Below are 12,453 nucleotides of genomic sequence, written 5' to 3'. Positions count from 1 at the left end.
AGAGCTTGCAGTGAGCTGAGATTGTGCCACTGCACTCCAGCCTGGGCGACAGAGTAAGACTCCATCTCAAAAAAAAAAAAAAAGAAAAAAAAAAAGAGGCAGGTTCTGATTCATTAGAAGTATACTTGGAATAACAAAGAAGGAAATGGGCCTAGCAAGGGCATCCATAAGACCTTGCTACCAATGGCAGCACTCACTTTGAAGAGCATAAAGATGCTGCTGCAAGCCTCAAGCAACTGGACACTAAGGTATGGTTCAATCAACATGCAAACAAGTGGGGCTGCTCCCTTTGTAAAGGTCTTGAATAAATAATTGTCTTCGCTGACTTTCTCTCCCACTTAGCTGCCACCATCAACTGCACTTGCCCCTTCCCTCTTCTGCCTCAGTGTGAGGCTCCAGGCCTTCCATAAAGTATACAGATATAAAGTCACGGTTGAGCCTAAATGAGGGAAAATGACACTAGCCAGCCATTATAAAGCTTCTTACCATACCGTCTCAAACAGCAAACTCATCATGACAAGAAAAAATGTGCTGCAAATATTCTTCCTGGATGATGATGGGGTTCATCCGCCCCAGAATTTTTCTTTAAGAGCAATTCGGAAGCAAAAACAAGGTGTCCATGCCACCATGGATAAAAATGTGATAAACCCACAAGCTTCCTCAGCCACCATGGCACTTTCTACTATACCAGATGTGACCACAGCTTTCCTGGAGGTGGCAGAGGGGATTAATGCAGGGCCTCAACAGTAAAACCCTCTCCAAACAAAGTGCTTCCTTCTCACCCCCAAACTCCATTTTTGAGCATAAATCCTGATGACCTTCCAAATACTTATGGGTAAATAGGAGGTAGTACCTGGTAGAGACAACCAAGCTTCACAATATGGCAGAAAAAAATTAAAAATTTTTTTGAAAAATGTTGCTTTGCAATTTATTCAAAAAAGAGAAGTGTGCAAATTATGTATCTGGTAAGGGTCTAGAATACATAAAGAATTCTTACAACTCAACAATGAAAAGACAACCAAATTGTTAAAAATAGACAAAATATTTGAATAGACATTTCTCCAATGAAGATATACAAATGGACAGTAAGCATATAAAAAGATGTCGAATATTATTAGTCATTAGGGAAATATAAATCAAAACCACAATAAGATGTTACTTTGTACTCATTAGAATGGCTATTTTTAAAAAACACAAAAAAGAGAAAATGATATATGTTGGTGAGGATGTGGAGAAACTGGAATCTTTTTGCCTTTTTGGTGAGAATGTAAAATGTTGCAGCCTCTGTGGAAGACTGTTTGGCAGTTCCTCAAAAATTAAACATAGAGTTACCATGTGACCCAGCAATTGCATGCCTAGATATATAGCCTCTGGAATTGAAAACATGTCCTTACACAAAAACTGTACAAGAAATGTTCACAACAACATTATTCCTAATAGCCAAATGTGAAAACAATCTAAGTGCCCAATTTATTATTGGATAAACAAAATATTGTATCTCTATCCAATGGAATAATATTCAGCCATAAAAAGGAATAAAGCACTGCTGCATGCTGTGGTATGGATGAGCCTTGAAAACATTACACTAAGTGAAACAAGCCAAAGAAGCCAGTCACAAAAGTCCATGTATTATATGATTCCATTTATATGAAATGTCCAGAACAGGCAAATCCAGAAGCAGAAAGCAAATGAACCAAATTCATTTTTAAAACGGGGAAAAAAGAAAAATAGATAATAATAAAATTAAATGGGATTCATTTAATTTTGATTGGTTGATAATTTGATGGCTTTTTCATGAGGTGGGAAAGCTGCTGACATCACAGTGAAACTTTTCTTTTTCCTTTAATCATCATACTAATAGCACAAATATTGCCAAAGATGTGACATTTTGCTCAAACTTCCACTTGGCAGGATGTGTGTGAGCCTATCAGATCTGAAAGTCTCACCGTCTGGAAATAACAATTTGAAAACCCAAATGAAGCCAGACATGTTTATTAACAGCTCAAAAGATGATGATCAATTTAAAGAAAAGTTGTGATTACAGATTGTGGAACATAGCCTGTAAAGGAGATGCTTAAGAGCTTAATTTTCAATTACAGTGTCTAAAGATAAATCAAAACAGCCAACAGAAAACCAGGATTATTTTGAGAACAGTGTGATCTGAAAATCCCTATAGATAAAGTAAAATAAAAGCTAATGGCCGAGAAAAAATCAACTGTCATTAATTAATGACTTGCATACCTGTGCATACAACCACTTTGCTAAGCTCTGTGGAGGACATGTGGTCCGGGTCCCCATGTGGTTTACAATCTAGGTGAAGATGTAAGACACAGCAGAAATTTCCATGAGTCACCTATCTGGAGTTGAGTATGTCCTACCAGTTACTAGCAGTGTGACCTTACATAAGTTACTGAATCCCTCTAAGCCTCTGTATCCTCATCAGTTAAAGAGAAATGAGAAGAGTACCTATGTCATATGGCTGTCCTGAGCATTAAGTGAAATAATGAATGCACAGGACTTAGCCCTGCCCTTGGCCTGCAGGAAGGCTCAATAAATATTTATGATTGAATAATAACAACAGATAATAATATCACAAGTAGAGAGAGCAGAGCTTTCAAAATTATTGCCTGGTGTGAGTAAAAACCAAGCAGGATCAGATAATGAAAAGAGGAGCTAAGAATCTGGATTCTAATTCCATTTCTACCACATGCATACTTACCTATGTCATTTAAATCCTCTTGCTTTTTGATTGCTTTATCTAAAAACTTGAGTGAGGGTATCTCGAGAATGTTGGGTGAACCCAAAGAGAAAATGTACATAGGAAACACTGTGATCTAAACCAATGTCATGCATTATTGCTATTTTAGAATGTATTTATTATTATTTGTATCCATTTCATTGGAGACCATTCAAATTATACAAATAGTTATGGTATAAAATTTAGAGGCCTAAAGACACACTCCCAGTGGAGGATTGAACAGAAACTTCTCTTTAGAGCAAACAGAAACCAAAGTTTTATTTCAGCTCCGTTTGTAGTTGTCTAATAAACAGTCCTGCAAACTAATAAACAGTTCTGCAAACATCAGTCTTATAAATACAGCTGAAAGGGGTTGGAGACCCTAAGGCAGACAGAATAGTGAAAAAACATGACACAATTAGACACAACCGGGCCCAAACCACTCATCATTTATTTTCTAGCTTTGGGATGGAGCATAAAGGACAGCCTCTATGTGCCTTGATTTTGCTATAAGTCAAGAAGGAATGATACCCAACTCAGACTCAGGGTGAGAATTAAATGCAATAAATCACAAAGTGAGAAAATTCTTCTTCTTTCTTCCTTCCCTGTCACTTGTGCCTCTCCCCTCAGGGAGTGGAGCCATCAGTGCTGAAAGGTGGTAGAGGCAGCAGAGTGACCTGATATTTTTCACTCTACCTTGATGGACAGAATGGGACTGATAGCTTCTCCATGTGAAAGAAGCTACAGACACTACATTGACAGGCAGCTGGAGTTGGAATAGGGCATGAGGCCTCCATCACCACAGATTCTAAGCAAATGAAAGATGTCTACAGAGGGAGAGCACAAAGATATTTAAAAACCATACTGTAGGCCAGGCGCAGTGGCCCACGTGTGTAATCCCAGCTATTAGGGAAGCTAAAGTGGGATGATCGCTTGAGCTCAGGCTGCTGAGGCTTCAGTGAGCTGAGATCATGCCACTGCACTCCAGCCTGGGTGACAGAGTGAGACCTTATCTCAAAAACAAAAAAAAAACAAAACCACAAAAAACCCCATGCAGTAGAAGAACCTTTTCACCACTCAAGGAAGTAACACCTCCTTGGTCATCTGTCCTAAAATCAAAAAAAAAGTAAGGACTTCATTCTTTTTTTTTTTTTTTTTTTTTTTTTGAGGTGGAATATCGCTCTTTCACCTAGGCTGGAGTGCAATGGTGAGATCTCGGCTCACTGCAACCTCTGCCTCCCAGGTTCAGCAATTCTCCTGCCTCAGCCTCCTGAGTAGCTGGGATTACAGGCACCCACCACCATGCTTGGCTAAGTTTTTTTATTATTTATTTTTAGTAGAGATGGAGTTTCCCCATGTTGGCCAGGCTGGTCTTGAACTCCTGACCTCAAGTGATCCACCTGTCTCAGCCTCCCAAAGTGCTGGGATTACAGGCGTGAGCCACCGTGCTCGGCTACAACTTCATTCTTAAAGATAGGGTTGAAATACATTTCAACAATTTTCAGTTGACATCAAAGACTGCAAACGTACAAGGCTACAGGGATCAGGGCAGAAGTGAGGGAAGCAGGCCCATGGGTCTGTGGTGGTCTTGATGTCTCTGCCCAAGCCCCATCACATGAAAGTGAGGGTCCATGGTGGCCTTTTCTCCTGAATTTTTAAAGAGAAACTAAAAATCTAGGTCTTTGTGTGAGACCACCCAATTTTTAAAATGTGAACAAAAGCTAAAAACAATTGTTAAATTTTGTGAGCTCAGCCCACATACCTCTGCAAGCAAACTTCCTCCTGGCTGTCATCTTTCATTCTGGTACACAATAACAGAAGAGGGAAGGTGACCAGTGTTCAGCCGAAAGCAAATATCACAGCAATCAGGAAATCAGCACGTGGAACACAAGAAGCCTCCCGTGGTCTTGAGTCAATCTTACAAATGTTTTCTGGATGACTTCTTCGTGCCAGCACCACAGAGGTGCTATGTTGTGAGGTCAAAGAGAGGACGCTGCTCCTGCCACTGAGAAATTGTATTCTAGTAGGCAGGACAAGACAGAAGACAAGAGAACAAGCTAGTCTATAGGAACGGCCACCCCAAAGTTGTAGGAGTTCAGAGCTACCCTTGAAATTCACACTAGGTGAGATTAAGAAAGAATTTTAGATGAACCTTGGATGTGAGAGTGAGAAGGAATTCACTAGGCGGGGACTATTGAGGACGGTGGAGAGTGGAGAGAACACCTAAAGACAGAGGGGCAGGGGAAGAAGAAATTAACGTGTCAGGTGCCTAAGGCCCAAACACTTTTATAATACGTTATTTTATTTAATCATCTGATCTAAAAAGCCTGTTATTTACAGATAAAGATAATAATGTAACACAGGTTAGGAAACTTGTCCAAAGTCACATGGCCAGCTTCGATATCCAGTTCTGTTGGACACCAAAGTTCTGTTTCTTCCATAAAGAGGTGATAAGAGTGTGTTCAGTCAGTAGTTTGGCTGGTGCTTGAGGGGTGGTTTAGAAAACCAAGACTAGGAAATCACTTGGGGCACACCATGAAAGCCCTTGAATGCCAGGGAGGAGAATTTATACTTCTCTGACCCTAAGTTCCCTTCCATATAATGGGTTCATTGTGAGGATAAAATGAGATAAACCGTGTGTTAAACTATAATATACAAAGATTAGTTTTTAAGGATAATGAATAGCCATTGAACATGTTTGTGTAAAAGCCAGCCTAGATTGGAGAAAAGCCTGGTTAAAATGTGTAGAATGGATTAGCATAGGGAAATCAGGCAGTTGACAGCTGTTTATAGGCAGGAAAGTGAAGCCCATGGGATTGGAAGTTGGGAAGGAACTTCATCAGGAGTGGGATAGATTGAAGGCAAGAGAAGAGTAAGAATCCCAGATCCATAGTTTGGGTCGGGTAAAGGTTTGATGAGATGATAAGGGTGGTTTATTTCAGACTTTGGGTAAAAGGGAGTATGAATCAGTTCATTAATTCATCTTGTTTCCCAGAGAGAAAAAAAAGATCAAGAGAAGCCATTCTGGCTCTGCCACATCCCCACAGCCAGCCCTGTTTTATTTCAACTGCTTGCTCAAATTAAACTCACCACACTGGAGTGCAATCTGCCAGGAGCCAGCTGGGGTGTATTGTGTTCAGTTGTTCAAATGTTCAGGCCCGTTCTGGGTAAGTTCATGCTGGTGTCTCTTGGAGGGATGCCTAGGGTGAAGGGCTGAGCTCTGAAGTCAGAATGATCTGTTTTAGAACCTGGCTCTTTCATAGATTATAGGTCATTTCCTCTTTCTTTATGGCAACTCACAAAAGAGGAATCAGGAAAGCTCCTGTACCAGTGTGGCTCTCTAACAGGATCTGGAACTGAAGACTAATTATTTGGATGTGGCTTACACTCAAAAGGACATTTTGAAGTGGTTGAAGAGGAGAAACTTTCCTAACAACTTGTTCAAAGACTCTTTTACTCCAGGGAACATAGCTAACTGGGAAGAGGGTGGAGGATCTAGTGCCTTGTCCCATACTGGAAACACACAGGACAGAAGGCTCCACAACACAGCCTGGCCTTGGGAGGAAGGTAGGAGGTTCTGACTCAGCAGCCAGCTGTGAGAGGTGGAAGAGGACCCTTGATCTGGGCAAGCAAGGGTTCAGTCCTGCTGGAAAGATGACTCTTTTACCAAGAGAATACTGAATCCCAGAGAAGTCTCAGACTGCAGTACTCTAGGAGTGAAAACCAGTTGGATGTCTAGAGGAACTCAGCCAGCTGGATAAGTTCTCATCTCTCCACCTTTGACATTGTTGATGTTCATCAAGGGTTTGTCTTCCACCCTCTTCTTGGGCAGCACACTCTCCCACAGGGATCCCATCTGTTTTTATAGCTTCCATTTCCATCTCTATCTGTTGCCTCATGCTGTTTCCCCAGTGACAAACTCAATATACAATTACCTGCTGGGACTCTACCTGGATACCTGCACATGAGACCCAACAAAGGAAAAATAAACGTATCTATCCTCCCTTCAGAAAACCTCAGACTTTTCATTCTGGGTCCCCTGGTACTTTAAAAATAGGCCTATAGAATATCTGATACTCTTCCCATCAGAAAATGGAGGCTCTGTCCCTGTCTCTTGAAGCTGGGTTGGCCTTCGTGATCACCTTGATAGACAAAATGCAGCAGTAGTGAGGCTATGTGAAATCTGAGATAGGTTAGAAGAGGCCAGCATCTGATTAGTTTTCTTCTTGGGACACTCACTTTGAAGCCCTGAAGCATCATGTAAGAAGTCCAGCTGCCTTGAAGCTGCCATGCTGGAGAGGCAACATGGGAAAACCAGAGCAAGAGGGAGTATAGTGGGGGTGGGGGTTGGGGGAGAGAGAGAGAGAAAGAGAAGAGGAGAGAGAGAGTCAGCGAGAAAAGGGATACAGGAGCCCCGGCTGCTTGAATCCTGCCAGCCCAGTCAGAAGACAAGTGAGTGATGGCCTTTACACTGTAATGTAAAGTAATGTAATGTAATGTAAAGTGAGTGATGGCCTCTGACACTGTCTTGGTTCAGGTCCGCTGCATTTCTCACCAAGGCTACTTCATCAACTTCCTAAAACTCTTTCTGCATACAATCTTGTCTCTGCCAGTTCATTCTGCAAACTAAGTCAGAGCTATCTTTCCAGGATGCAAATCTGGCGGAGTCACTCTCCAGCTTAAAGCCCCTTCAGTGGTCCCCTAACATAGGGTGGCATGCAAGCTCTCTGACCCACCCTAGCCCCAGCCCCAACCCCAACCATGCCCACTGTGTCAGTTCTGCCCTGCGCTCATGTCTTTGAGCCTTTATTTATTGCTCCCTCTGCTCTCTCATTTATCTGATTACCATTTCAGTGACTTCAAAACTCAGCCCAAGTGTATTTGGAAAGCCTTCCCAACCTCCTCCAAGATCCATGTGACATGTGCGTCCCCAAGCCAGATAACCAGGGAGGCTCTGGCTGGCCGTGTGAATGTTATCTTAAGATGTTAGTGAACCTTCCATGCCCAACAATACCCAAAACAATTAGGTCAGATATCCTCAATGGGAATTACGGCAGCATCAGGCCACTCAAGGTTTTGCTCTTTTCAGGGATGAGAACTCAGTAGAAAACAGGAATTCCCCACCAGTAAACACAGACCCTCTCTTGCAAATGCTGGACATGTATGCACCAACTGACTCTTAAGGGCATGTTTGTATGTGTGTGTACATGTGTTGATCATACAATAAAATTGACTATTTTAGTGTACAGTTCTATGGTTAACATGTTAAAATTCTTATAGCCACCATCAAAATTAGAATATAGAACAGCTCCATCACGCCAAAGAGCTCTCTCATGCTGTATCTTTCTAGTCACACCTTTCTCCATTCCTAACCTCTAGCAACCACTAGTCTGTTTTCCACCACTATGGTTTTGTCTTTTTGAGGCTATCATGCAGATGGAATCATATTCTATGTAAGTTGTGAGACTGGTTTTTTCACTGACTATAATGCCTCTAAGATTCATCTGAGTTTTGTACGTATCAATGGTATGTTCCTTTCTCTTGCTGAATAGATCACGTTTTATGGATAGACAGTAGTTTATTTACTTATTGAAGAATATTTGACTCGTCTCCCATTTTGATTGATTATGCAGAGTGCTGCTATAAACACTCACATACAGATTTTTGTGTGAACATGTTTTCCTTTCTCTAGGACCTATACACAGGAGTGGGACTGCTGTGCCATATCATAAAGCTGTATTTAAGGTGATAAGAAAGTGCCAAATTGTTTTTTAGAGTGGCTGTACCATTTTATATTCCCATATCAGCAGTGTTTAATAGTACCAGTTGCTCCACATCCTCATCAGCACTTGGTGTTGTATTTTTTTTTAGCCACTCTAATAGGTATTTACTGGCATCTTATTGTGGTTTTAATTCACTTTTCCCTAACGGCCAACGATGCTGAATATTTTTTCATGTGTTTATTTGCCATCAGTATACCCTCTTCGGTGAAGTGTCTGTTCAGGTTTTGCCTATTTTTAAAGTTTGATCATTTGTTTTCTTATTACTTAGTTTTGAGAGTTTCTCTATATATTCTGGATACAAATTTAGACAAGTTGGATATATGATCTGCAATTCTTTTCTCCCAGTCTGTAGCTTGTTTGTTCATTCTCTTAAGTGCCTTTTGGAGAGAAAGAGATTTATTTGTTAAAGTCCAACTTACCAATTTTTTTCTTTTATGAATTGTGCTTTGGCATCTAGATCTCTTTGCCTAACTCCAGCTCATGTAGATTTTACCCCTATGTTTTCTTCTAAAAGTCTTATATCTTACTCTTTTCCTTTTGGAGTTAATTTTTGAATGTAATGTGATTTTAGGTTGAGGTTCATTTTTTTTTCTGCATATGATGTCTAGTTGTTCCAATACCATTTGTTGGAAAGACTATCCTTTGCTCTTTGAATAGCTTTTGCACCTTTGTCAAAAATCAATTGGAGGGCCAGGTACAGTGGCTCACACCTGCAATCTCAGCACTTTGAGAGTCTGAAGCAGGAGGACTTCTTGAGCCCAGGAGTTCAAGGCTGCAATGAGCTACAATCATGCTGCTGCACTCCAACCTGGGAGACAGAGTGAGACCCTGTCTCAATTTAAAAAAAAATAAAAAAGACCAACTGGGCATATTTCTATGGGTCTATTTCTGGAATCTCTGTTCTGCTTCATTCATCTATTAGGTTGGTGCAAAAGTAATTGCAGTTTTTGCCATGTCTACCTTTTCACCAATATTACACTTGATATCTTGAAAACCATATTGAAATAAGATAGGATGATTCCTCCAACTTTCTTCTTTTTCATAATTATTTTAGCTCTTCTAATGCCTTTATCTTTCCATATGAGTTTTATTTGTTGTTTGTTTTTTTTGGAGACAGGATCTCACTCTGTCACCCAGGCTTGAGTGCAGTGGCGTGATCATGGCTCGCTGCAGCTTCAATCTCCCGGGCTCAAGCAATCCTCCCACCTCAGCCTACCAAGTAGCTGGGACTACAGGCGCATGCCACCATGCCTGGCTAAGTTTTGTATTTTTTTGTAGAGTTTTGCCACGTTGCCCAAGATGGTGTTCAATTCCTGAGCTCAAGCAATCTGCCCACCTCAGCCTCCCAAAGTGCTGGGATTACAGGTGTGAGCCACCGCACCCTGCCTCCATATGAATTTTAGAATCAGCTTGTCTGGTATATCTACAAAAATCCCTGCTGGGATTTAGATCAGAATTGCATTAAATCTATACATCAATTATGGGAGAACTGACATCATTACTATGTTGAGTCATCCAATCCATGAACAACTTATGTCTCTCCATTTACTTTGGCATTCATTGATTTCTTTCATCAGTGTTTTATAATTGTCAGAGTATAGATCCTATATATATTTTGTTACATACCTAATCCTTACCTTTTGGAGCTATGTCACACAATGTATTTAAATTTCCATTTTCAGTTGTACATTGTTAACATATAGAAATAACAAGTGATTTTTGTGTGTTAACCTTGTATCTTGCAGCCCTGCTAAAATCACTTATTAGTCTTAAAATTTATTTTGTAATTTCTTGGGATTTCCTGTGTAGAAAATCATGCCATCTGTGAATAGGGACAGTTTTGTTTCTTTCTTTTCAAAATGCCTTTTATTTCTTTTTCTTGCCCTGTTGCACTGGCCCAGGTTTCCAGTGAGATATTCAAAAGAAATGGTGAGAATGGACACCTTTGCCTTATTCCTGCTCTTAGGGGGAAAGCATTCAGACTTTCAGCATTAAATATAAGCTGTAGTGTAGTGTAGTGTGTGTGTGTGTGTGTGTGTGTGTGTGTGTGTAGAATTCTTAAGAGTTTAAGGCAAAACATGCTTAATTTTTCTTCTCCTCTGCTATGGTATGAATGTGTATGTCCTCCTTCAAATTCATATTTTGAAACCTAATCATCAATGTGATGGTGTTAGAAGGTGGGGCCCTTGAGAGGTGATTAGGTCGTGAGGGGAGAGCCCTCCTGAATGGGATTAGTGCCTTTTTGAAAGAGTCCCAGAGAGCTGCCTTGCCACTTCCACTGTGTGAGGAAACAGCTAGAAGGCATCATTCATGAGCCAGGAGGTGGGCCCTCAGCAGACACGGAATCTAATGGCACCTTGATCTTGGACATCCTGGCCTCCAGAACTATAAGAAATAAATGTCTGTTGTTTATAAGCTACGTAGTCTGTGGGATGTTGTTACAGCAGCCAGAACAGACTATGACACCCTCTCTCAGTTTTTAAAGTGATTTCTGTCTCAATTCCATCAATTTCAAACCATGTGGTTAATAACTAAACGACTTCCTGGCTTTTGTAACTATGAATTCAATAAAATTTAACTTATGAGTGTTGTATTGATTGCTTTCAGGAAATAGCTCAAGAACATAACAGATAAAAGGCAGGTCTGTTGCTCTTGCTAAGGGACAGTATCCCTTGTCCCTGCAGTGAACAGCATACCTTCTAACTCTCAATTTGTTTACGGTGGAGCTGAAGCCCTAAGTAGTCCAGAAGCTTGGGGGAACATGGTAGGATGAGGGAGGGACCCTGGTCTAGCCAATCAGATCACCATGTTCCTTTGGTCCCAAGACTATATTGAGGAATGGAGCTCTGACTCAGGGCTGAGTTAGCCTAAGGCTAAGGCCATGGAGTCTTGTTTGAACTAATAGGGATCAGAAACTTTATCTCTCCTGCTGGGTGTGGAACTGGGAAAAAGAAACCTTGACCTGTGCTGGCAGCTGTATCAACACCAGGGAAGAGTCTTGCTTGGGAGTGAAAATGACACAGGTGTAAAGAGACTGTATGTAAGGAGACAACAGGTCCAGATGATATTAAACCCCTGTACTGGAAGCCAGGTACTGTTTCTAGACTCTTATGGTATCTGAGCCATAAATTTTATATGTCACCCCCGCCTCCTTACACCTTTCTGGATTAAGCCTGTTTGAACTGGATTTTCTGTTGCTTACAATTAGAAGAGTCCTAAATTATAGTGGGGAGACAGAGAAGCTGCCACTGGTATTCTAGGTGCCTTCTCCGCCAGCCACATTTGCCCTCCTTGCATGGAAGAAAGGCTGGTAGATGCACGGGCAATGCTTTCTAGATGTAGAGGCCTAGGGCTAGGCTTGTGTGAACAGCAGGAGATGGTCCTGCTGGTATATAGCTAGAGGCTGTGGAAGCCATTCTTACCTCTCATTTCCCATAATGCCCTTAAGCAACAGCCACCAGTATCACCAGATGTTATCAAAATAGACTGGGCGTAGTGGCTCATGCCTGTAATCCCAGCACTTTGGGAGGCCAAGGTGGGCGGATCACTTGAGGTCAGGAGTTTGAAACCAGCCTGGCCAACACAGCAAAACCCCATTTCTACTAAAAATGAAAAAATTAGCCAGGCATGGTGGCACATGCCTGTAATCCCAGCTACTTGGAAGGCCGAGGCAAGAGAATTGCTTGAACCTGGGAGGCAGAGGTTGCAGTGAGCTGAGATCATACCACTGCACTCCAGCCTGGGGGACAGAGCAAGATTCCATCTCAGTAAATAAATAATAATTTCCCTGCCATCATTCCTAGACTTTGTATCTTTTCAACACTTCTTGATGTCCCGAGAAAACCTTTCAGCATGGCACCTCATGCCATATGGCTCTGTGCTAGTCACTCTCCATTTGCCCTCCGATTCACCCTCTGTCTTTCTTTGTCCTGC

General features: G+C 41.4%; 1 protein-coding gene across 7 annotated transcripts in view, besides 1 other annotated feature; it reads right to left on the bottom strand.

The window, feature by feature from the left end:
- SLC1A1 (solute carrier family 1 member 1) overlaps positions 1-12,453 on the bottom strand; it is a 97,002-nt gene that overhangs the window by 65,332 nt on the left and 19,217 nt on the right. For 2 of the 7 annotated variants that reach the window (XM_011518007.2, XM_017015042.2), the window contains exon 2: positions 2,242-2,310. The exons of 3 other annotated variants lie outside the window; for them this stretch is intronic. In XM_011518007.2, coding sequence (XP_011516309.1) covers positions 2,242-2,310 — 69 coding nt within the window. Of the gene's footprint in view, positions 1-2,241; positions 2,311-4,499; positions 5,736-5,827; positions 5,905-12,453 lie in introns of those variants that run through there. 2 more of the 7 variants (XM_011518008.4, XM_011518009.4) reach the window with 2 other exon arrangements.
- Positions 6,547-7,487: an enhancer, noted in NCBI's record as "OCT4-NANOG-H3K4me1 hESC enhancer chr9:4514651-4515591 (GRCh37/hg19 assembly coordinates)". NCBI's record gives its function as "activates a minimal SCP1, AML or CMV promoter by ChIP-STARR-seq in naive and primed H9 embryonic stem cells {active_cell/tissue: H9 hESC(naive and primed)}" and the evidence as "EXISTENCE:reporter gene assay evidence [ECO:0000049][PMID:30033119]".

Source organism: Homo sapiens, chromosome 9 (genome assembly GCF_000001405.40).
Source record: "Homo sapiens chromosome 9, GRCh38.p14 Primary Assembly".
In the NCBI taxonomy this organism is placed as follows: domain Eukaryota; kingdom Metazoa; phylum Chordata; class Mammalia; order Primates; family Hominidae; genus Homo; species Homo sapiens.
This window is presented reverse-complemented; position numbering and strand designations above follow the sequence as displayed.